The sequence below is a fragment of the Homo sapiens genome, chromosome 4, assembly GCF_000001405.40.
Source record: "Homo sapiens chromosome 4, GRCh38.p14 Primary Assembly".
Taxonomy (NCBI): Eukaryota; Metazoa; Chordata; class Mammalia; order Primates; family Hominidae; genus Homo; species Homo sapiens.
Window position 1 is genome coordinate 176,356,849 of NC_000004.12, and position 26,444 is coordinate 176,383,292.

Below are 26,444 nucleotides of genomic sequence, written 5' to 3' on the forward strand. Positions count from 1 at the left end.
CTGAGACGAATTTGCCTGTTTACACTCTTGGAGTTCCATAAGGAAAAACAGCAGCTTTTTCCCACAAGGAAGTCTGGCACCTTCTCCATTTTCTTTAAGGAACCCCAGGCTATTATAAACTATTTTAGGTCCCTCTTGCAGCACAGGGTTCAAGAGAAAGGAGAGACAGCAGATGTAAATGAAGAAAACAGAATTCAGTCAACTGAGAAGAAAAAAACTTTTGCTCAAAAAAGACAAGGTCCTAGGAGAGAGAAAAACAAAACAAAACAGGCCTTTTAAATTCAAATACACGCACACACAGACATACACAAACACAGCTTGGATGTTAGCTTTTAATTAAGGTGACTTTTAACCGTTGAACTCCTTTAAAAAAATCTTTTAAAATCTTATTACCATATTTCAGCGAGGTCAAATTGCTGCTATTTTAGAAGTACCAATATTAATGGAAAGGAGTCCTGATCCAGACCCCAATAGAGGGTTTTTGGATTTCACACAAGAAAGAATTCAAGGAGAATCCATACAGTAAAGTGAAGGCAAGTTTATTAGAGAAGTTAAGAAACAAAAGAATGGCTGGCTACTCCATAGGCAGAGCAGCCCTCCTGATGGCTGCTGATAGTTATTTCTTGATTACATGTGAAACAAGGGGTAGATCTGATTCATGGTGCCCCTTCTTAAACCATATGGAGCAACTTCCTGATGTTGCCGTGGCTTGTGTAAACTGTCATGAGTGTAGCAGTGAGGACAACCAGAGGTCATTCTCATTGGCATTTTGATTTTGTTGGGTTTTGGCCGGCTTTTTACTGGAAGCTGTTTTATTAGCAAGGTCTTTATGACCTGTATCTTGTGTTGACCTCCTATCTCATCCAGTGATTTAGAACATCTAGGAATGCAGCCCAGTAGTTCTCAGCCTCATTTCACGCAGCCCCTATTCAGGATGGAGTTGCTCTGATTCAAACACCTCTGACATCAAGCATCAAACCAGAAAGGGCTTGATTTAGAAACGAAACCCAGGCTGTCATAGTGAAAAAAAAGAAGGCAGAAACTTAGCTATGGAACTGCAGCATAGGGCCACAACCATTGCTCTTTCAGTTTGACCTGAAAGAGCAAAAAGGTGGCTTTGTTATGTAAATAAAGCTCCTTAAGTAGTCAAAATAAAAAAAAAAAACTTTACTTTTTTTTCTTTTTAGTGGTTGTTTTTCTCCCCCACCACACCTTTTTGTTGATGTTGTTTGTTTTTGTTTTTGTAGCAATTTAGCCACTTCAGAGGCCTTGTTTCCCATAATTTGGAACTTTCCTTTAGATTTGATCAAATTGGATAGAGCTGGTCAAACCCAATAGGAAAAAGACTGAAACAACAACAAAAACAGGAACAAAACAAACAACGAAAAAGCAGTTAAGCGAAACAAACAAATGATTGCACAACTTATACCATTACTGAGCGCTCTAATGGTAAGGAAAAATTAAGACCAGCTGGTTGTTAATCTTAACTTTAGCCAAGACAAACCCCAATTCAGTTACTTACCTTGGGGTGGGTCTCAGGCTGAAGATTGCTCTCTACCTTCCTAGAAGCAGGAAAAAAATTCAAACTTGCCTTCCCTGTTGGGAGTGATTTCAAACTCCAGAAAGGAGTTACCTGCCTTCCATCACCATGGAAGCAGGACAACTTGCCCTCCCTCCTTGTTGGAAGTCAGTAAAACTCAAAAAAAAAAAAAAACAGTTGTACAGCAAAATAAACTTCATATCTCAACCAAATTTGGGGAGACCAGGGATCCTCTGGAGGGAGAGGCTTCCAGGCCTCAGCAAATTGTCCTATTGGTTTGAGCCATAAAGATAACTCGAGCTGGTACCAAGCACTGATAGGAGATTTGTCAAAGGTCAGGGGTATCTCCACTCAGAATCCCTTCATGGTTACCAAAATATGAACCCTGAATATCTGAGACAGATCTCAGTCAATTTAGGAAGTTTATTTTGCCAAAGTTAAGGACGCACACCCAAAGTTAAGGACACAGCCTCAGGAGTCCTGACAACGTGTGCCCAAGGTGATCCGAGCACAGCTTGGTTTTATACATTTTAGGGAGACAGACATCAATCAATATACATAAGACAAACATTGGTTTGATTGGGAAAGGTGGGACAACTCAAAGCAAAGTTGGGACAACTTGAATTGGGGAGGGGGCTTCCAGGTCATAGGTAGATAAGAGACAAATGGCTGCATTCTGTTGAGTTTCTGATTAGCCTCTCCAAAGGAGGCAATCGGGTATGCATTTATCTCAGTGAGCAGAGGGGTGACTTTAAACAGAATAGGAAGCAGGTTTGCCCTAAGCAGTTCCCAGCTTGACTTTTCCCTTTAGCTTGGTGATTTTAAGGCCCCAAGATTTATTTTCCTTTCACATCGTCATAATCACTACAAGCAAACGTCTTTGTTGAGATTTACTTAAATATTTACCATTTTCTTAACTCACCATTACTTCTTGCTTTCCATGTCTTTTTTGAAGTCCACATATTAAATACTTCTTCAATGAATAATGTCCGGTGGTAGTGCTCTTAGTTTTTGCTTAATCCTCCCGTATAATTATTATTCTATTAGTTCTTAAAATTCTACTTGACTCTCTTAAAATTTTCATGAACTTTTTTGACTTTCTTGGTCCTTGCCTATTAATTTAGTTCCAACTTTTATTTTTGAACATTTTATACATTGCCCTAGAAAAATTTTGTATCTGAAAATTCTTATCATTCTTGTATCTAAAGACCTTTTATTTTACCTACCGACTATCCTTTACAATAGTTTATTTCTTGTGTATTGGTGATTTAAAAAACATTGGGAGCCTACATCTGGTATGACTTATTGTAAAAAGGCTGAGTGCTGAAACTGGTGACTTTTCTAACAAGAATTTGCATTTGCTCTGCCTCGGCCCAGTTTGTTGTTCTGACCTGGAAACATTAAATGTTTCCAGAGGCTGTGGCTTAACATGGGAGTTCCAAATCTCCCCACCCTCCCCCCATGCCTTTCTGCAGACTCCTTTGACTAGTACATTTGCCTTAATTATCAAAGAAAAATGTGGTTGCAGATACATTGTGGAGCAACAGAGAAACATCTGGAAGTCAGGAGACTGAGGTGCCTCCAAGTACTAATGATAAAAATTAACAAAATAATATAGAAATCCCATACAGGCAGGAGCAGCCAAGGCACAAAGGAATGAAGCCTTGGGCCACCCCACCAGGTAAAGAACCCCAACCAGTTGAGGTGCAAATTGGGAGTGGAGGAAGGACATTGTACATTTCAACTAAGCCTTCCTGATTAGTTACAGAAATAAGTATTATAGTAGCTGTCAATATTTTCTTCTTTGCATGATCAGGCATATGTTTACGTAATTTCCCTTTTCTATTTGTGTTGCCTTTGGCTAACTTTACTCTGAGTTTGAAATATACCGAATATCAAAGTAGGAGTATAACCAAATTGGAAGATGAATAAATGAATGCAATTACTGACGAGACTTGGGTCTTTTTTTTTCAGGGACAGAGCAAACATTTTTATTTGAATGAAAGATAATCTCATTATGTTAGGAGAAAATGCGTTGGGTTTTTTTTTAATACACATGTTGAAAGAATGACACATATGGACATTGTGTTGTCAAAGGGGTGGACTGCCAAGGAAAACTGTGGATTGACTATGGCAATACCCATTCCTACAACTCTTCAGTGTGCAGAGACTACAGAAATAAAATTATGTTTTTCAGACTCACTTGTAGCTAGTGTTCACTGCAGCTAGTGATTTAGGTTCTACAAAGCAAATGTACTCATTTGAGATTGATTCAGAACATGAGTCACCAGAGGACAGAGGCAAAATGTGGGGCACCCATTTTCCTGACACAAATTATGTCAGCAAATTAAGATGTATTTCTGAATTAACTGCTATAGCACTGGCACTCTGACCATGGCAGAGACAAAAACTTCATTCTTTGTCCAGTTTGATGGTGTCATTTGGGAAATTGTTTCTGCAAACTTAGCCTAAAGACTTTTTTTAACTCATCCACCAGTTCTGTGTACTATTTAGATAGCCCTTTATAATCCCTTTCTCCTAAAGTACAGCAGATTACATTGTTTGAAATGAAAAACACCAAACACTGGACAATATTATATATGGGACTGTACACAGTTACTGACAGATACTCTAATCCAGTGTTGTCAAGAGATGAGAGATTGGCCTCTAAAGATAAATGAGTTCACCTGAAGCACATGAACTGTGGTTACTTCTAAAACAAGGTTGCTATGTGTATGAACCTTGTTTTAAAAGTAACTACAGTTCATGATCTCCAGGTTATAACCAGAAATACCTGGAAGTGGTACCCACTGTGCAACCTGGAAGAGCAATAGTGAACAGCTTGATCCTGAGGAGGCATGTTATGGCCTAATCCCACTCCCCCAAAATTGATTGTCAGAGAATGGAGAATTTATCATTTGGATACACACATATACAAACACACATGCATATTTATACTGCCTATTATGTTATAGTTTATGCTTCTATAAAATATAAATTTAAAATTGTATGTAGATATGTATTCTAGATATATTAAAAATTTAATATTTTCTAGCCTGTATTTTATTCTACATAATGAAAATTTTACTGTTGTTAAATATTCTTCTACAACATCAATTTATAATTACCAATATGAACTAAATCAGTCTATTGTTTGTCATCTGAGATTTTTGAAGTCTAATATTAAAAACATTTCAACAAGTATCTTAGCTATAAGTATTTGCATATGTTAGCATATATTTTTGATGATTTCCCTAGGAAAATCCCTACACAGAAATTGATGGGTTAGTAGAATTTTTTTTTTTTTTTTTTTTTTTTTTTTTTTGAGATGGAGTCTTGCTCTGTCTCCCAGGTTGGAGTGCAGTGGTGTGATCTCGGGTCACTGCAACCTCCGCCTTCTGGGTTCAAGCAATTCTCCCTGCCTCTGTCTTCCGAGTAGCTGGGATTACAGGCACTTGCCACCACACTCGGCTAATTTTTGTATTTTTTAGTAGAGATAGGGTTTCGCCATATTGGCCAGGCTGGTCTTGAGCTCCATACCTCAGGTGATCTGCCTGCCTCAGCCTCCCAAAGTGCTAGGATTACAAGTATGAGCCACCGCACCCAGCTGAATATTTTATGAATTTTTTGTATTATGTATTGCCAGACTGACTTCTGAAGGGGTTAGGGCATTTTTTAAGTCACCTGACAATTTATGGGGGTTTCCATGTCTTTGAAAGCTCACCAAAACTAGATTTTATTATTTTCTTACAAATTTCCAATTTGTTGGTGAAAAAACATTTACCTAATTTTAAATTTTATATGTTTGATTCTTATGAGATTGACATGATTTAATGTTTCTTTTCTCTTTGCGTTTCTTCTTGGTAAATTGCTTTATCATGTCATTTACTAATATTGTCCCATGATCTTAAAATCTTTTTCTTTTTTAAAAAAAATTTTTTTTTTTTTTTGAGACGGAGTCCCGCTCTGTCGCCCAGGCTGGAGTGCAGTGGCACGATCTCAGCTGACTGCAAGCTCTGCCTCCCGGCTTCACGCCATTCTCCTGCCTCAGCTTCCCAAGTAGCTGGGACTACAGGCACCCGCCACCATGCCCAGCTAATTTTTTGTATTTTTTTAGTAGAGATGAGGTTTCACCGTGTTAGCCAGGATGGTCTGGATCTCCTGACCTTGTGACCCGCCCGCTTCGGCCTCCCTAAGTGCTGGGATTACAGGCGTGAGCCACTGCGTCCGGCCTTAAAAATAATTTCAAGTAATTTTAGATTCAGGGGAGACATGTGAAGACTTGTTAAATGAGCCTATTGTGTAATACTGAGGTTTGGGCTTAGTACCCAACAAGTAGTTTCTTAGCCCTATCTCCCTTCTCCTTCTCCCCTCTCTAGTAGTCCCCAGTGTCTGTTGTCATGTTTATATTTATGTGTACCCAGTGCTTAGCTCTCACTTACAAGTGAGAACATGTGGTATTTTGTTTTCTGTTTCTGCGGTAATTCGCTTAGAATAATGAGCTCCAGGTCAGTCCATGTTGTTGCAATGGACATGATTTCGTTCTTTTTTATGGCCATGTAGTGCCTCAGGGTATATGCACTACATTTTCTTCATCCAGTCCACTGTTGATGGGCATCTAGCTTGATTCCATGTCTTTACTCTTGTGAATAGTGCTGTGACGAACATACAAGTACTCATTTAGTAGAGGGATTTCTTTTACTTTGAGTATATACTCAGTAATGAGACTGCTGGGTTAAATGGTAGTTATTTGAGAAATCTCTAAGCTGCTTTCCACAGGGGCTGAACTAATTTACATTCCTACCAATACTATATAAGCATTTCCTTTTCTCTGCAGTCTCACCAGCAATCTGTTCTTTTTTGACTTTTTAACAGTAGCCATTCTGACCGGAGTGGGTTGATATCTTCTTGTGGTTTTGATTTGCATTTCTCTGATGCTTAGTGAGATTGAGCATTTTTTCATTTGTTTATTGGCTGCTTAAATGTCTTCTCTTGAGAAGTGTCTGTCATGTCTTTTGCCCACTTTTTAATGGGGTAATTTGTTTTTTGCTTGTTGAATTCTTTAAGATCCTTATAGATGTTGGATATCAGACCTTTGGCAGAGGCATAGTTTTCAAGTATCTTCTGCCCTTCTGCAGGTTGTCTGTTTACTCTGTTGGTAGTTTCTGTTGCTGTGCAGAAGCTCTTTAATTAGGTCCCACTTCCCAATTTTTGTTTGGTGCAATTGCTTTTGAGGATTTAGTCATGAATTCTTCTCCAAGGCAGATGTCCACAATTTACTAGATTTTCTTTCAGGATTCTTATTTAAGGTCTTACATTTAAATCTGTAATCTGTCTTGATATAATCTGTATATATGGTGAAAGGCAGGGCTCCAGTTTCATTCTTCTGCATGTGGCTAGTGAATTATTTCCCCATTGCTTATTTTTTGTCAACTTTGTCAAACATCAGATGACTGCAGGTGTATAGCTTTATTTCTGCATTCTCTCCTCTGTTCCATTGATCTATGTGTCTGCTTTTGAACTAGTATCGTGCTGTTTTGCTTACTGCAGCCTTGAAGTACAGTTGAATAATCGATAATATGATACCTCCTACTTTGTTCTTATTGCTTATGATTCCTTTGCCTTTATGGCTCTGTTTTTTATTCCATATGAATCTTGGAATAGATTTGTTTAATTCTGTGAAAAATGACATTGGTAGTTTGAATGGAATGGTGTTGAATCTTTAGATTGCTTTGGGCAGTATGGCCATTTTAATGATACTGATTCTTCCAATCCATGCGCATGGAATGTTTTTCCATTTGTTTGTGCCATCTATAATTTCTTTCAGCAGTGTGTTGTAGTTCTCCTTGTAGGGATCTTTTACCTCTTTGGTTAGGTGTATTCCTAGATATTTTATTTTATTTTTTGTGCACATTGTAATTGACATCACATTCTTGATTTGGCTCTCAGCTTGAACATTATAGGTGTATAGAAATGCTACTGATTTTTGTACTTAGATTTTGTATCCTGAAACTTTTCTAAAGTCATTTATCAGTTCTAGGAGCCTTCTGGCAGAGTTTTTAGGATTTTTCAGATATAGAATCATATTGGCAGTTAAGAGAGATAATTTGATTTCTTCTTTTCCTCTTTTGATGCCTTTTAATTTTTTCCCTTGTGGGATTACTGTAGCGAGGACTATGTTGAATGGGAGTGGCAAGAGTGGGCATCCTTGTTTTGTCCTGATTCTTAAGTGGAATGTGTGCAGCTTTTCCCTGTTCAGTATGATGTTGGCTGTGAGTTTGTCATAGATGGCTCCCATTATTTTGTGGTATGTTTATTCAATTCCTAGTTTCTTGAGAGATTTTGCCAGGAAACATTGTTGGATTTTATCAGAAGCTTTTTCTACATCTATTGAGATGATCATATGCTTTTTGTTTTTAATTCTGTTTATGTGGTGAATCATATTTTCTGATTTGCATATGTTGAACCAACCTTGCATCCCAGGAATAAAGCCTACGTGATCATGGTAAACAGTATTTTGCTGAGGATATTTGCATCTATGTTCATCAGGGATATTGGCCTATAGTTTTTGTTCAGTTGTTTCTGGTGCGTCTTTGCCAGGTTTTGGTATCAAGGTGATGCTGGCCTTATAGAATGAAGTGGAGTCCTCCTCCTTGATTTTTCAGAATAGTTCTAGTAGAATTGGTGCCACCTCCTCCTTGTACATCTAGTAGAATTCAGCCATGAATCCATCTGGTCTGTGGCTTTTTTTGGATTGGTAGGTTTTTTTATTACTGATTCAGTTTCAGAACTTAATATTGGTCTATTCAGGTTTTCAGTTTCTTCGTGATTCAATCTTGGGAGGATGTATGTTTCTGGGAATTTATCCATTTCCTCTAAATTTTCTAGTTTTTGTATACAGCTGTTCATAATAGTCTCTGAGGATCTTTTGTATTTCTGCAGGATCAGTTGTATTGTGACCTTTGTCATTTTTGATTGTGCTTATTTGGATCGTCTCTCTTTTTTCCTTTGTTACTCTAGCTAGTGTTCTATCAATTTTGTTTACCCTTTCAGAGAACTAAATTTTGGGCTTGTTGATTCTTTGTATGGATTTTTGAGTCTCCATTTCATTCAGTTCTGCTTTGATTTTAGTTATTTATTTTCTTCTGCTGGCTTTGGGATTAGTATGTTCTTGTTTTTCCAGCTCCTCTAGATGTGAGGTTAGATCATGAATATAAGATCTTTCTAATTTTTTTATGTAGGCATATAGCACTATAAACTTTCCTCTTAACACTGTTTTTGCTGTATCCCAGAGATTTTGGCATGCTGTGTCTCTGATTTCATTTATTTAGAGAACTTTTTGATTTCTGCCTTAATTTTATTGTTTGCACAAAAGTTATTCAGGAGCAAGTCATTTAATTTTTCATGTAACTGTGTGGTTTAGAGAGATCCTCTTGGTATTGATTTCTGTTTTCATTCCACTGCAGTCCAATAATATGTTTGGCATGATTTTGATTTTTTTAAAAAATTTATTGAGACTTACTTTATGGCTGGGCATGTGGTTGATCTTAGAGTTATATTCCATGTGCAGATTAGAAGAATATATATTCAGAGACTGATGAATAGAGAATTCTGTAGATGTTTACTAGGTTCAATTGATCAAGCATTGAATACAAGTCCAGAATTTCTTTGTTAGTTTTCTGCTTCGATAATCTGTCTAATGTTTTCAATGGGATATTGAAGTCACCCATGATTATTGCACGGCTGTCTATGTCTTCTCACAGCTCTAGAAGTATTTGTTTCTGGGTGCTCCAATGTTGGTTCCATATATGGGTTTAGGAAGTTAAATCTTCATGTTGAACACTTTATCATTATGTAATGGTAAAGGCCTTTCTTTCTCCTTTTTTACTGTTGTTGCTTTAAAGTCTGTTTTATCTGATGTAAGTATAGTGACCCCTGCTTTCTTTTGTTTTCTGTTTCTGTGATAGATCTCTCTCCATCCCTTTACTTTGAGCCTGTGAGTGTTGTCACATGTGAGGTGGGTCTCTTGAAGACAGCAGACGGACGGGTCTTGTTTTTCTGTTCAACTTGCTGCTCTCTGTCTTTTAAGTTGAGGATTTAGACTGTTTACATTCAAGGTCAATATTGATATGTGAGGTTTTGATTCTATTGTGAAGTTGTTAGCTGGTTGCTTTGGAGTTCAATTGTATAATTACTTTATAGGATGTGTGGGCTATGTACTTAAGTGTGTTTTTGTGGTAATAGGTATCATTCTTTCATTTCCATGTTTAGAACTCCCTTAAGAGTCTCTCGTAAGGCTGATATAGTGGTAATGAATTCCCTTAGTGCTTTCTTGTCTGGAAAATATTTTATTTCTCCTTTGCTTATGAAGCTTAGCTTGGCAGGATATTAAATTCTTGGTTGGAATTTCTTTTCTTTAAGAAGCCTGAAAATATGGCCCCAATCTCTCCTAGCTTTTAAGTCTGCAGTTAGCCTGATAGGGTTCCCTTCATATGTGATCTGACCTTTTTCTCTGGCTGCCTTTTCTTTAGCATTGACTTTGGACAGTTTGCTGACCTTACATCTTGGTGATGTTCTTTTTGTATAGTATCTTACAGGTGTTCTTTGGGTTTTCTTTATCTTGATATTCACATCTCTAGCAAGGTTAGGGAAATTTTCTCAAATTCTTCTCTCAAATATATTTTCCAGTTTGTTTACTTTTTCTCCTTCTCTCTCAGGAATGTAAATAATTCATTGGTTTGCTTGCTTTACATAATACCATATTTCTTGAAGTGTGTGTTCATTTTTTAAAAAAAAATCTCTTTATTTTTGTCTGTGTTAGTTCAAAAATCCAGTCTTCAAGCTCTGATATTCTTTCTTCTGATTGGTCTAGTCTATTGATTAAGCTTTTAATTGTATTTTGAAGTTTCTTAAGTGAGGTTTTCAACTCCAGAAGCTGTGATTGATTTCTTTTTAAGATGTTTATCTTTTCTTTCATTTCCTGGATTCCTTTAGAAGTTTCTTTGTATTGATTTTCAACCTTTCTTGGATCTCACTGAGGTTCTTTGCAATCCATGCTTTGAATTCTTTATCTGTCATTACTAAATTTCCATTTTGTTTAATGACCATTGCTGGAGACCTAGTGTTATCCTTTGGTGATGTCAATACATTTGGATCTTTCATGGTAATCAGAATTCTTACACAGGTTCCTTAACATCTGAAGATTCTGGCATTTCTAATTTTTGTAATTTTAGTGCAGACAGAATTTTTCTTTCTTTCTTTCCCTATAACATTATTGTTTTTTCTTCTGCCCTTTTCCCCCATTTCTAGGGGGTGTGACTGTAGCAAATGTTTGGTGGAATCTTTTTGCTTTGCTTCCACAGCTTTACGCATTTCAGTTGGGAGGTTTTATTTTGCGCTGTGCAGTTTGACTGACAAGCCAGTAGCTAACACTTATGGGTGGGAGCTGGCAGTGGCCAATGTGGCCAGGTATGTACTAGATCCTTGTTTACTGGGAGAAGCTCCTATTGTCTCAGGCAATGGGCTGATCATGGAGTGCACAGTGATCTGAGCTCCCTGCTTAGTCCTAGCAGGGAGCCAAATGGGTGGGGCCAGACTGGGCAGGCCTGCCTGCCTGCAAGTCTCCCAGTGGTAGGCACAAGAACCAGCACCAAAGGAAAATTCAATGGGTGGCCACCAAGCACCAGCTGCGTGCCTAGGCATGGAACTGGGAAACCTCCTCAGCCCCAAGTTCTCTATGGGGTCGGGGAGGGAGAGGGTTTTGAAGGTGCTGGCCTAAACTCCTAATCCAGGAGAGTGAGTGCTCCAGATGTCAGGAGATCTGTCTGGGTGTGCCGTGTAGACGGCTCCCCAGCACCACAATCTCTGCAGAGGAAGGGTGGAGATGCTCAGGATGTTAATTCAGGCAAACAGGTGCTCTGAATAACTGGAGATCTGCCAGGGCATGGAGTGGAGAGGCGCTATCTCCGTGTGGGAAGGGTGAGGCAAGTCAGGCTGCTGGTCTGGGCAAGCATGTGCTCCTGAATGCGTGGACTTATGCCTGGGCATGGAGCAGAGATGACCAAGATGTACTGTGATCCCTGCACAGAAAGGGTGGGCAACTCAGGCTTTTGAACCAGGTGAGCAGGTGCTTCAGATACCTGGAAATCTTCCTGGGCATGAAGCAGAGAGGGCCTCCCTGCACTTAGATCTCTCCACAGGAAGGATGGAGCAACTCAGGCTGCCAATCTGGGCAAGTGGGTGCTCCAAATGCCTGGAGATATGCCTGCAGGTGGAGTGGAGAGGGTCCCGCTACACCATGATCTCAGGGGAGGCAGGCTCTGGGGCACTCAGCAATAGCACATGCAGACCACTTCCAGGTCACCAAGCTGGCCCTGCCTGCAAGTGTTGTCCCTCGTAGAAACCATTGTTATAGCAGATCTCCTCCCACCCCAGGCCTGCGATGGAGGAGAGCACAATTCCAGTGCCTACTGCTGAGGTGCTTTCTACGATTCTGGCTGTGGAGGCCCCTACCCTGCTCCAGAGCATGACCTCCAAAATGTGGCCTGAGACTGAAATGCCTGCATGGCCACAGTGCCAGGTGGCCAAAGAATGACTTTGTATGTGCTGACATTAAAAATAGTGTCTTGCTCTCAGTCCCGGGTCTGGGAAATTGCCTGCAGCTTTTTCCTGGTGTCTTTCCCTCTCAGTGTCTCCAAGCCGCTCCCCAAGTTAACTCCAGGGCTTGGGAGAAACAAAGTGCCTGAATTGCTCAGATTCCTGGTGAAAAGTTGAGTCACAGAGGGAGGGTCTCTGGCCTTCTCACATACTGGGACTTCACTTACTTTTATCACTGGACACTGTCACAGAGACTGTTTGCCCCATGGTCTTCTCCCTAGGATCTGGGGTGTCCTTCACAATTTAGTGGATTGCCATTTTCTTTCTTGAATTGAAGCTCACAGAGTTGATATCTATGTACTATCTTGCTATTTCCAAGTGGCTGAGGAACATCAAAAGCCTCTAAATCCACCATCTTGGAAAAAAAAACCCTTTTGTTTAAATTAAAAAAAAAATTGTTCTTTTCCTCTTATATATTGGAAAATATCTTGGGATTTTGCACTTATTACTTATGAATTAATCATAGTCTCAGTTTTCTTATTTTTTTTACAATGATAATACCCACTATATAATATTATTATGAAGATTAAGAAAAGTAATATATTTAAATTTTCTATCAGAGTGTCTGATATATAGCTGTTCAACTAATGTTTCCTTTCTACCATTCCTACTTCACTTCCCTACATCCCATGTCTGTAGCTAAACACTTGGGAAACTCTGCAGTAAGTTACCACTCAGATTTGGGGCCTGTAGAGTTGGGTGATGGTGAGACAAAGATGAAAGAAGAGGACCACCAAGGATCTTAGGAGGAAGTAACTGAAAAGGTTGAAATTAAATGGTTTGTATCCTCCGAGCAGTTTAGCAGAATCAAATCAGGATTTAACCCCAGCACCCTATTTCTTTAGCCATGAATTCCTTAGATGGCTTTGTCTTCTTGGGAACCCACTTCATGTGCCTTCTATCATAGAGAAACAGCTCTATCATGGCCATGCATTAATAGTGAGGAAATTTACCTACCATTTTGTCTATAGAATTATAAATTTTATGGTTGAAAGGGACCCTGATAGTCATTATGGCTACTTTTAGGCAGGCAAGAAGTATTAACATCATTTTACAGGTGAAGCAGTTGTGAACAGAGAGGGTAAATATCCTGACCCTGGGATCTTTGTTCAATTGATGTCAGCAAGTCAGAGGTCACATAAAACATATACACTATCCTCAGAGAATGTAGGAATCGAAAATGCAGAGGGACTGGGGAATAACCTCACTTGTTTGCTTTCAGCCTATTAAAATGTAGTTCTCTGCATTCAGCTAAATGGATTTATGAGTTGCTTTATATATTTTACATTTAACTAACCAATTTTTTTCATCAGAATTAGCTGGGTTGTGCTGCAAATGTGAAGAGTCTCTAAATTTCAATGGCTTAATAACAGTACATGTTTATTTTGTTACTTGTGATACATGTCTAAGACGGTTGCAGAGGCTCTGACCTTTGTAATCAGAACCCCTGATCTAGGCAACTGGAGACTCAATCTCAGCACAAACTTCCAGGATTTCTGAAGCTGGAAAATACATAAAAAATTTTAAAAAGAGTATGGTGAATCAGACAATGCCGGCCTTTTAGACCATCTTTGAGTAGAAAGACTATTTATAATCTACACAATGAGAACAGTGCAGGATTATCAGCTATCTTTCAGTTCTGAAACATCCATAGGCCTATATTCTCTTTTATCTTGACAATGGTTGCAGTCAGGAATAAATAACAAGTCTGTTTCTTCCTGGAGGAAGTGTTCTTTCTGGTGACTTTCTACCAAAAAACCAGTTATTTAACCTTCACTAACTTGACTTTACCATTGCCCAGAATTAACTAGAAGAGAATTTCAGAACTACCCTGCAAAAAGGGGGCATCTTTTTAATACGGTATCAATAATAGGTCTGTATAGAAGTAAGTACAGCAAGAATCAGGTGGCCAGGATAATTTAGAAAGTGACACTAGTAGAAATAGTCAGAGGAAGTTGGTGTAACACAGGGATTTAGTTTAGTGTCTATCAACAGAAGATTAAGCAGACTACAGGAGTTTATGCAAGACTACCATGGATATACACATAGTGGCAGAAGTACAAAATAAAAGAAATTAGGAATTAAGAATAAGAACAATTGCTAATAAGTGAGTGAATGTGTGATATACACAAACACATACACATGTGTGCACACATATATACAATTTAACTCTTTATAACCTCCCCCCAGAATTAAGTACTATTTTATATTTCAGATGAGAGGACTGAAACCCAATGTTTCTTGGCTAGTAAGTGATGGTGCTGAGATGCCAGTCCAAATATATTTGATTCTATAGATCATGGTCTTTCTATTTTTTACTGAGAGGTATTATTTCATCTAGGCCACTTCTTAGCTAAATAACATATATCATCTATATATGTTATATTATATATATTTATAACATATATATATATTTATATTTATAACATATATCTGATCTTTGTTATTTCTTTTTCTCCTGCTAACTTTGGGTTTATTTGTTCTTAGTTTTTTAGTTCCTTGAGGTGTGATGTTAGGGTGTTAATCTGTGATCTTTCTACCTTTTTGAAGTAGATATTTAATGCTATAAACTTTCCTTTTAGCACTGCTTTTATGATATCCCACAGGTTCTGGTATGAGATGCTTTCATTTTCATTCATTTCAAAAAATGTTTAATTTCTGTCTTAATTGCTTCATTGATCCAGTGGTTGTTCAAGAGCATGCTGTTCAATTTCCATGTATTTATATAGTTTCCAAGGTTTCTCTTGGTATTGACTTCTAGCTTTTTCTCAACATAGTCTGAGAAGATCCTTGACGTGATTTTGATTTTAAAAAATTTGTTAACACTAGTTTTGTGGACTAATATGTGGTGTATTGAAGAATGTTTCATGTGCTGATGAAAAGAGTGTATATTCTGTAATTTTTGGGTAAAATGTTCTGTAAATGTCTGTTAAGTCCATTTAAAGTTCAATTTAAGTCCAATGTTCCTTTGTTAATTTTCTATCTTGATGATGTCTTGTCTAGTGCTGTGAATGGGATGTTAAAGTCTCTCACTATTATTGTATTGCTGTCTATTTCTTTAGGTCTAGTAATTTTTGTTTTGTGAACTTGGGTGCTTTGATATTGGGTGCATATGTAGTTAGGATTGTTATATCCTCTTGCTGAATTGATCCTGTTATCATTATATAACGATCTTGTCTTTTTTTTTAATGTTTTTTATTTAAAATCTGTTTTATCTAATGTAAGTATGGGCTATTCCTGCTTGCTTTTGGTTTCTGTTTGCATGGAATATCTTCTCCATCCCTTTACTATTTGTGTCTTTAGGGGTAAGGTGTTTTGATGAACCACTAGTTAGACTACCCAAGAGAAGAAGAGAGAAGATCCAAATAAACATAATCAGAAATGAAAAAAGGACATTACAACTGATACTACAGAAGTACAAAAGATCGTCAGAGACTATTATGAACAATTACAGAGTCACACACTAGAAAACTTAGAGGGAATGGATAAAGTCCTGGAAACACACAAGTTCCTAAGATTGAACAAGAGAAAAACAGAACTCTCGACCAGACCAATAAAGAGTAGCAAGATTGAATCAATAATAATCCCCCAACAAAAAGACACCCAGGACCAAATGCATTCATAGCCAAATTCTTCCAAACACACAATAAAGAACTAATACCAATCCTCCTGAAACTATTCCAAAAGATTTTGAGGAGGAGGGAATTGTCCTTAATTCTTTCTACAAGGCCAGTATCACCTTGATACCAAAACCAGACAAGGACATAACAAAAAAAGAAAACTACAGACCAATATCCTTGATGAATATACATGCAAAAATCCTCAACAAAATACTGGCAAATCACATCCAAAATCAGCCCCAAAAGATAATACATCATGATCAGCTGGGATTTATCCAAGGGATGCAAGGATTTTTTTTTTTTGAGACGGAGCCTTGCACTGTCACATGGACTGGAGTTCAGTGGCATGATCTCAGCTCACTGTAACCTCTGGCTCCCAGGTTCAAGCAATTCTCCTGCCTCAGCCTCCTGAGTAGCTGGGATTACAGATGCCTGCCACCATGCCTGGCTAATTTTTTGTATTTTTAGTGGAGACAGGGTTTCACTATGTTGGCCAGGCTGGTCTTGAAAGCCTGACCTTGTGAAACACCCGCCTTGGCCTCCCAAAGTACTAGGATTACAGGCGTGAGCCACTGCACCCAGCCAATGATATTTAACATCTACAACTTCAACCAAATTAAGGATAAAACCATGTGATCATTTCAGTAGATGCAGAATAAGCATTCAATAACATTCAGCATCACTCCATGATAAAAATCCTCCACAAACTAGGCATAGAAGGAACATATCTCAACATAATAAAGACCATATACAACAAGCCTACAGCCAACATCACACTTAATGTGGAAAAGTTGAAAGCCTTTCCTCTAACAACTGGGACAAGACAAGGATGCCCACTTTAACCATTCTTATTCAGCATAGTACTGGAAGTCCTCACCAGAGCAATCAGACAAGAGAAGAAAAATAAAAGGCATCCAAATTGGAAAAGAGAAATTCAAATTATGTCTGTTCATGGATGATATGATCTTATATCTAGAAAACTATTCCACCAAAACACTTAGATTTGATAAGCAAATTTAGTAAAGTTTTAGGATACAAAATTAATGTACAGAAATTAGTAGCATTACTATACATCCATAATAATCTAGCTGAGGCCCCAATCAAGAATTCAATCCCATTTACAATACCAAAAAAATACATAGGAATATATTTAACCACGGAGGTGAATAATTTATGTAAAGAGAACTACAAAACACAGGGGAAAGAAATCATAGATGATACAACCAAAGGGAAACACATCCCATGCTCATGGGTTGGAAGAATCAGTATTGGTAAAATGACCATATTGCCCAAAGCAACCTATAGATTCAGTGCAATCCCTATCAAATTAGGAACACCATTTTTCACAGAATTAGAAAAATGAATCATAACATTTATATGGAATCAAAAAAGAGCTCAAATAACTAAAGCAATCCTAAGGAAACAGAACAAAGGCTTAGGCATCACATTGCCTGACTTCAAACTATGCTATAATGCTATAGTAACCAAAACAGCATGGTACTGATATGAAAATAAACACACAGATCAATGGAACAGAAGAGTTCAGAAATAAAGCTGTATACTTAAAACCAACTGATATTTGACAAAGTCTGCAAAAATATACACTGGGGAAATGACATCCTATTCCATAAATGGTGCTGGGAACATTGGATAGCCATATGTAGATGGATGAAACTGGACTCATACCTCTCACCAAATACAGCAATTAACTCAAAATGGATTAGACTTAAATGTAAGAACCAAAACCATAAAAACTCTGGAAGAAAACTTGGAAAAAACTCTTCTGGACATTGGCCTAGATACATAATTTATGACCAAGTCCTCAAAAGCAAATGCAAAAAAAAAACCAAAAATAAATAAAGAGGACTTAATTAAACTAAAAAGCTTCAGCACAGCAAAAGGAGCAATCAACAGAGTAAACAGATATCCTACAGAAAGGGGGAAAATATTTGCAAAGTCTGCATCTGAAAAAGACTAAGTTGCAGATTCTATAAGAAACTCAAACAAATTAACAAGAAAAACAACCCCACTAAAAAGTGTCAAAGGACATGAACAGAAATTTTTTTTTTTAATTTAAGAAAACTTTTAGAAATTTTTCAAAAAAAGACACACAAGCAGACAACAAACATATTATAAAATTATCAACATTACTGATCATCAGAGAAATGCAAATTTAAACCACAATGAGATATCATCTTACCTTAGTTAGAATGGCTGTTATTAAAAAGTCAAAAACTAGCAGATGTTGGCATGGATGAGGAGAAAAGGGAACACTTAAATGCTCTTGGTCGGTATGTAAATTAGTACAAACCCTATGGAAAACAGTATGGAGAGCTCTCAAAGAACTAAAAAAGAGCTATCATTCAGTCCAGCAATCCTTCTTCTAGGTTTCTACCTAAAGGAAAATAAATCACTGTATTTAAAAAAACAGCTATACTCATATGTTTATCACAGCACTACTCTCAATATTAAAGACATGAAATCAACCTAAGTCTCAATCAATGGAGGAATGGATGAAGAAAATGTGGTATATATACACCATGGAATACTACTTAGCCAAAAAAAAGAAAGAAACTATGTCTTTTGCAGCAGTATGGATAGTTGGAACTGGAGGCCACTATCCTAAGGGAAATAACTGAGAAACAGAGAGTAAAAAGTTGCATGTTTTCACTTATAAGTGGGAGCTAAACAATGGGTACACATAAACATACAGATGAGTATAACAGGCACTGGGGACTCCAAACATGGGGAGGGGTCAGGGAGTAAGAGTTGAAAAATTACCTATTGGGTACAATGTTCACTGTTTGGGTGATGGTACACTAAGAGCCCAGACTTCACCACAGGGCAATATATGCATGTAAGATACTTGCACCTGTATTTCCTAAATATAAATAAAATTATGTAAAGTACATGATGCTTTATAATGATAATAAACAACTGTCTTACTGGTTTATGTATTTACAAAGCAAAAAGAATTTCAAAAGGGCTTGCTTTAAGGAAGTTAAATCACTGAATAAACTCTCTGCTTTTCCTTAAAATTATATATATATAAAATATATTGTAATATATATAATATATAATTATATATATACCTCTGATGGATATACATGCAAAAATCCTCAAAAAATACTAGGAAATTGCATCCAAAAGCACAATCAATATACATAAATGTCATATATAATAGATAATGTCTTATATATATAAAATGTCTTACACATGTTTATGTAAAAGCACGTGTATATATATATATATATATATATATATAAATGTCTTGTATGAGAGATTGGTTGTCAAGAATAAGCCCATGATTAGATACTTTATATTTATATTTTTATAATCAGTCAGATTGTTTAGTATATTCCATAAGCATGTTACCTAATAAAACAAATAATGTTTTTGTTACAAGAAAATACTTATTTCAAAGAGGTTCTCATCAGTCCTTTGACCACTGGTTTAGTTATTGCAAGACAATGGGAAGAATAGCAGTTGTACTTGTGAAAAAACAAAAGTAGCATTATCTGCTGCATTTTTGGTTGATTTCCACTAGATGGTAGTATTGAATTCAAGATTCAACCTGCTATATATTTTAATGCAGAAATTTGATAAATTACAGAAGACATTTGTATTGTGTTACTTTTACCGTCTATGTTAACATTTGAAACCATATTCAGACTATGTTTATGCATGTTGGAATTTTTTTAAAAAATACAACTTCTGGAAATTTGAAAACTTCTTAAGAAGCTGGTGCAATATTAGATATATTGTATTGTAATTCATAGAAATAATCTTTTATTATGAAACTTTTTAAAATAATTTTTGCATGTGTTTTAAATTCTGATCATAGTCATTTTCTTTTTCAGGCAAAATGTAGATTTCGTTTTTAGTCTGTGGAAAGAGTAAGAGAAAAATAACATGAAAATATATTTTTTTTCAAATGTTTCTGTCAGGAAAGATAGGCTCTTGGCAGGTGTGTTTGTGTGTAAAAATAGACTATCTTCGAGTACATATTTTCACTTCAATTTCCATGAGGCATTATAAACAAAGACAAAAATTAAAAAAAAAAACACTTTTGCAATTAATGAATGATGAGTACAATATGTAGCTAATTGCCCTGATTATGTTAGTGTGTTATTGCAGAATAATAATGAACTGAATGAACCTGTTTTCCTTTGCTGTATTCCTAACCAGATGCACCCCTGGAAGATACATTAGGAGTTATCTAGTCCATCTCCATCATTGTACTAATGAAGAAACTGAGGACTGTGACTGCTTTTTAAACTGTTCTAGAGAAAAAAAGGAAAGATGGGTTCCATTGACTCTGTTGAATACTCTCTTACTGATTTACAGATCTTTACCAAGTACTTGCTTGCAGAGAATATCCAAAAGCAGGACCAGATCATGATACTCTTCAGGACAGTCCCTAATAGTTTTCACTAGAAAGGTATACAGTTAAAAAGTAGCGTAAAATGGTATTGACACTGGAAAATACAAAAGTACCTTGAATTAAATTGTATGGTGAAAAGCACCAACCGTGGAATCAGGTAGAATTAAGTAATGAATTTCAGCTCTGTCACTTACAATCTGTGTAACGTTGGGCACATTTCTGCACCTCTCTGCCATTAAATCTTCTCATTTACAAAATGGAGTTAAAAATACCTACCACGTGAAATTATAGGATATCCTAAATGGAATAACTTAGTAAGCTCTCAAGAAATCGTTCTCCCCTTGCCTCATTAAGAAATCATTTTTAAAATGGGAACTACGTTAAAGCCCAATTTAAGGCATAGATCAGCAATGTTTGATGGCATGGATCTGTCTATTTTGGGGCTAAATTGTGTTCTGACCCTCCAAATGATCAATTCTAATTAATTCCTTGGTTGTAGATTTGTAAAGCCCGTTTAGTTGATTGCACAGACGTGGCCAGAGTCAAGGTACAGGAACCCACAGACTATAGAAATCAACGATAACATGTAGAAAAATCACAGGCAACAGAAATGCACTATTTTTAGAGATTGTATAACTGCTCTAGGGTGAAGCTATCTTGATTGGACTCAGCATAGTGCAACAGAACAGAATTACACAAGATGCCCCTTTCCATTACACCCCATTATTCCTCTGTTTTTGAGGATTTATGCTAACATTGTTCTGTTACAGATTGTAAACATTGATGTATTCTGAAACTGTTAACTGTAAGCATTTATGCTTGCATTGTTTTCTGTTCATTTCTCTTGTATTCCAGCAGATGTCAGTCATTCTCTTTAAATAATCTCCATTTATTCTCACCTGCCTATGACCAGCTGAAGGGAAATCACCTTTAGTTATGTCAAAGTGACATGTTTGTTGAACTGTAACAATAATAATGCTCCCTATTAACCTATCAGGGACTTGAGCCATTTTGCATTCAAACAATGATGAATTTTTATTTTCTTATTTAATTATTTAAAAAATCTCCATCTCAGTTTCCAAAATGTGTAACTAGAAAATAAATGAGAAGCCAGAGAAGACATGCAGAGAATTTAAATTTGCACTTGTGGTAAAATAATCTGCACTTGCGTAGGAGAAGACAAATCACTCCTTGATGTCAATGTACGGTTATGATTTTACTCATACTTTAGAATTTTAAAATGTCATGTAGTGTGATATATATTCATGCAGATGTGGGTGAAACAATGTGCTTTTTAATCATTCCTGCTACAATCACAAACAATCATTATGTCTAGCCATTGATCCTAGCACAGGGCTTGTCAGGTAAGGGCAGATTTTATAAAACCTGGGTAAAACAAGCTTAATTTGCGTAAATTGAGTTTTTTTCTAAAAGTGAGAGGGTACCTTTTTAAAGAAAATGTAGTAAATGCAAAAGTCAATGAATCCTTGGATGTTTCTCAAACTATCTTTGTGTTTTAAATCTACTTTCTCATTTTAATAGGAATTAATCATTTATCCTCAAGGAATATTTTCCTTAAAAGGGAAGAATATTACCAGTTTTTCTCAACAAATCTCGAATTCATTGTGGGGAAACTGATGATGTCTCTTCATTTGTTTTGTGATTCTTGTATTTTAAATCAGTTCATTGAAACAGCCTGGCTGAGTGCTGTATTTAAGTATAGAAATTTCTGCTCATATCTGGTGGCTCTTGCTGAAGGAGGGACATAGAGCTAGAATGCTTGTCAGGGATCCCACCTTAACCTGCTCCTGCCCCTTAGATAGATCCTCATTGTCTACAGGCCATTTGCAACCAGGCGAAATAAAAATTACCATGTTTCTCTTTATTTTATTTATTGAAGATTTTTGACTTTGTATATAATTTACATAGCTTTTAAATACAAAAGCTAGTTTTAAGGAATGTATATTAAACAGTGGTTATTTGCCAGGACAAAAGATACCATACTAGAGAAAAGCTAGGAAAAGAAGAAACATAGTTTCATACTAAACAACTATTTAATAATTTTAAGAAAAACAGTACAGTTTAATATTTGAGAAGGGAAATATGCTATCATTCTGAAAATCTTGTATGCAGAAAACTCTTAGTTTTCTAACCTAATGGTAGTTTCTATACTAGATTTAAAACTTTTTGTACTAGGCCTTTTCCTCAAAAACTTCTGTAAAACCTTAAATGTTTTATTATCAATGCATATATAGGAATGCATATATAGGAATTTACAAAGTAAAAGAAGAGAGCAATACTCATGTCTGTCATTGATTCACACATTGTCCCCTTTAGATGTGACTGAGAGGGTGGTGGCTCACGCCTGTAATCCCAACACTTTGGGAGGCTGAGGCAGGTGGATCACCTGAGGTCAGGAGTTCCAGACCAGCCTGGCCAACATGGCAAAACCCCTTCTCTACTAAAAATACAAAAAATAGCCAGGCATTGTGGCAGACGCCTGTAATCCCAGCTACTTGGGAGGCTGAGGCAGGAGAATCGCTTGAACCTGGGAGGCAGAAGTTGCAGTGAGTGGAGATCATGCCACTGCACTCCAGCCTGGGCAACAGAGCAAGACTCCATCTCAAAAAAAAAAAAAAAAAGAAGAAGTGACTGAGTACTCAGTTATCCAGCTTTTAGGGCAAAGTGATCAAATGATAACAGAAAGGAAGAGGCAAGAGAAGGATTTTACAAATACAAATAGTAATGATGGTCCAGGGACATGATGGAAATCGCAGGATGAAGCAGAGAAGGGAGCTCTGTGTGTTCCCTGGGTGGAGATTGTACTAATGAGCTGCTCACATTTGAGAAACACAGATTGATGAGCTTCTCTGGCAATTGTTATGCAGCAATATTCCCATAAGAAGTCACAGTAGTTATCACAGTATCAGAGCACCGTAAAATAAACACATTGCTTTTTCCATGAACTTGAATATTTAATGTTAGAGATGAGTACAATGGAGGCAAATAAATCCTCTCCTCATTTCCTCACATCCCTACTTTTAAAGATTGTCAGGTATTCAATCTCTATCATAGTTGTTTGAGACTTTAGGTCCCTATAGTTTATCATTTTCCAGTAATGTTTTTGAAATGCAATAATTTAAAGATCTCTCGACTCTTGGATTTACATTACAAATGCTGGTGATACAAAAATTTCATTTAAATTAGTCTAGACCATGAAGTATGGACTTTTAGCATATTATATTGTAAATTTGAAATTGAAACACTGTCATGATCTTTTTTTAAAGAATTTAAAACTAGTATTTAAATATTATAAGTTTTTCTCTGAGAAATGTTTTACAATTGTAGTTTATAGTTCTGAGGACTGAGAGTGTAGGAGATTTGCTTAAAACAAGAATGGAGATCAGAGCTAGGGTGTCTACTATATTCAACATTTTTCAAAATTCGCTCTGCCACCTGTCAAGAGCTGAGCTGAGCTGGAGAGAGCTGAGACGCCCGTGGTGGAGTGGTCAATTAAGACAACAAGCCAAAGTGAAAGTAACAGCCAATCCTTTAATGACTTTCTAAGGTAGTAGAATAGGCAAGAGGAAAAAGCTTAACCATTTTAATGTTCCTTTTTTCTCCACAGAAGGGCACTGGGTGAAGGTCCAATGTATCAGTGCACACGGGGGAGTGGGGCGGGGAATTATCTCACCACCTACGTACGGGAGCCCGAACAAAAGGCTCTGGCCATTTTATGGACCCAGGGGTGGGGATGGGGGTGAGCTGGAGAGGGGAGGACTAGGTGTGGGAAACAGTGAATATTGAGTCAGAGAGAAAAAAGAGGCTTCAAGTGTCCTCCCCAGTGAGGAGGCCTCCGCAGAATGACCCGATGAAGAGACCTCCTCTCTCTGAATGCAGGGAGGGCTAGAGATGCAGATATGCATAAGCGCATGGTGCTGAGGATGGAGTGACTGAGCCCTTGACTGCAGCTCCCTTCAGAGACTGCAGTTTACTGGCTGCACACAGTCTGGTGTGGGGAGGACAATTTTTCCCTGTGAAGCCTGCCAGGTAAATCCTTTGCAATTGTCTGTGGTAGGGTTTGAAAGATGATTATAGGTTTTTGGCTAGGAGCTGGACTCCTCACCACTGTCTCATTTCAGGCCTCCATCACCTCATTTTGGGATTATTAGAGGTGCTTTTATCCATTCTCTCCACTTCTCTGAAGTTTTTTTCCAGCATGATCCATCATGCTCTTGATTGCCAGATTGCTTGCTTCTAAATCACTAGATCACTAAATCACTGTATCGTTCCTCTACTTTGGAATCTAGTATGTATTATTTTTATACCAAACTCGAGCCACTCAGGTGAGCATGTAAGGCCTTTGTTTGATGGGCTTCAGTTTATTTATCCATATTTTACTACTTCTTACAAAGTTTTCTCAGATTTTCCTAAGCCAATGATGCTCAATCAAGCTTGTACAACCCAAGGCCCATGGCCACATGAGGCCCAGGGTGGCTTTGAATGTGGCTCAACACAAATTTGTAAACTTTCTTAAAACATTATGAGATTTTTTTGCCGTTTTGTTTTTTAGATCATCAGCTATCGTTAGTGTATTTTATGTTGGCCCAAGACAATTTTTCTTCTTCCAGTGTAGAATACAGAAACCAAAAGATTGGACCCCCGTGCTCTATATCTTTTGTACATGACAGTTCCTTCTCAGCTCCAGCCTTTCATACTGTTCTTAGAACATCTTTGACTGTCAACTCCACCTATCAAGCTATTCTTTTTCTTTTCAAACTCAGCTAAAGATATCGTCTCTGTGCAGCCACTGCCCTGCCCCTCACACTGATTCTTTTTGCTGTTGTTCTTGCTGGTTCATGAATTCTTCAGCCGCTATTTCATTGCTTTTGTCTGTCACACTACTAAAATATAAATACTTGTTCAACAAACAACTTCGAATTATTCTCTAGTTATTTATTTTTTCTTAAAAAAAGGGTTCAATTGTATCCCCATCTAATTTTTAGGTATTAATCCTTCTTCATCAGGTATTATATTCTGCACTTCCTAGGTGGCAGGCAGAATACTTGGTATTTTCATTTATGTCATATAATTTAATTTTCACAAAGGCTCGTGAGTCATGCAATATTTATCATGAGGTATACAAGATAAAAATGAATCTCAGAAAGTTGGAGTAATTTTGTCATGCATAAAAGACCAGTATACTGGCAGTTGTGAGATCTTTCTTGCGCCAATGTCCATGCTTATTTTCTTCTACAAGATGCTGCCATTATACTGGAAACACAATAGTGACAGGGTCAATGAATGAGACTCAATGCTAGTTTATGTTTATATGTTCTCTACCTCAAGAAAAAGTGTATCTATTCAGCATCATTAGTAAAGTTATTAACTCTAAGTTTTTGTTGTTAAAAAAAATTGATTCTGGACGAAGGTGTTATTAGCATTAAAGGCAGGGAGTCAGAGACACAGGCCTTTTATTTGGAATCTTGAGATTTCATCTAAGAAATCTTGCCCTTTTGATGTGACCTGGTTGAGATGCCACAACCCTTGAGTGTTGGCCTCCTCATTTGGCAGATGAGATTATCAGATTGCTGATTTCTGAAGTCCATGTTGGCAATAGTGGGGGTTGGATTCTATGCCTTTTTTTAATTACTGCACTCCGAGTTTGTTTTCTACAATGTACTCAGTTCTTCCTCCCCAATATAAACTGTATATAGCTACTTCCCATCATGATGTCCTCCTTCTGTTAGAGACAACTAGAATATGACACTTTTTCTCTGTTTTCCATCATATGGTTTAAAGTGCCATGTCTTTGCCTCTGAATTTGTTTTAAAAGGAGACATTACAGTATTAGTATCTTTATTTAAAGAAAATCTAACCTGAGCATCATTATTTATTGGTCAGTCTTCAAGTCATAGCTGTCATAATGTATTGGAGTCAAATAAACAAATTTCCATCTCTTCAGGTCCTGGACATATTTTTAAATATATTAATGCTATTATTACCATTGTTATTTAAAATGTGTTAAAACATTATCTTCATAGCAGATATCATACACAAATACTCAAGAACATACCTTCAGTAGAGGTAGAAATTAGAACAAAGTTATAGCCCTCTTTCCCCAGCCCGACAAGAAGGGGAAAAAGAAATAGAAATTTACCAATTATGTTATGATGCAAGGAATACAATTCTGTCCTAGAATGTGAGTTGTGTATGAACTTCAAAGTATGCACTAGTGAAAGTC

At 37.0% G+C, this 26,444-nt stretch overlaps 1 long non-coding RNA gene across 2 annotated transcripts in view, besides 5 other annotated features; it reads left to right on the forward strand.

The window, feature by feature from the left end:
* Positions 681-750: an enhancer, noted in NCBI's record as "active region_22166". NCBI's record gives its function as "activates an Ori minimal core promoter by ATAC-STARR-seq in GM12878 lymphoblastoid cells {active_cell/tissue: GM12878}" and the evidence as "EXISTENCE:reporter gene assay evidence [ECO:0000049][PMID:35858748]".
* Positions 761-920: an enhancer, noted in NCBI's record as "active region_22167". NCBI's record gives its function as "activates an Ori minimal core promoter by ATAC-STARR-seq in GM12878 lymphoblastoid cells {active_cell/tissue: GM12878}" and the evidence as "EXISTENCE:reporter gene assay evidence [ECO:0000049][PMID:35858748]".
* Positions 761-1,360: a biological region, named in NCBI's record as "NANOG hESC enhancer GRCh37_chr4:177278841-177279359".
* Positions 842-1,360: an enhancer, noted in NCBI's record as "NANOG hESC enhancer chr4:177278841-177279359 (GRCh37/hg19 assembly coordinates)". NCBI's record gives its function as "activates a minimal SCP1, AML or CMV promoter by ChIP-STARR-seq in primed H9 embryonic stem cells {active_cell/tissue: H9 hESC(primed)}" and the evidence as "EXISTENCE:reporter gene assay evidence [ECO:0000049][PMID:30033119]".
* Positions 21,055-21,194: an enhancer, noted in NCBI's record as "active region_22168". NCBI's record gives its function as "activates an Ori minimal core promoter by ATAC-STARR-seq in GM12878 lymphoblastoid cells {active_cell/tissue: GM12878}" and the evidence as "EXISTENCE:reporter gene assay evidence [ECO:0000049][PMID:35858748]".
* LOC124900817 (uncharacterized) overlaps positions 24,059-26,444 on the forward strand; it is a 140,808-nt gene continuing 138,422 nt past the window's right edge. For both annotated transcript variants that reach the window (XR_007058378.1, XR_007058377.1), the window contains exon 1: positions 24,059-24,250. This is a non-coding gene — a long non-coding RNA (uncharacterized LOC124900817). The remainder of the gene's footprint in view (positions 24,251-26,444) is intronic.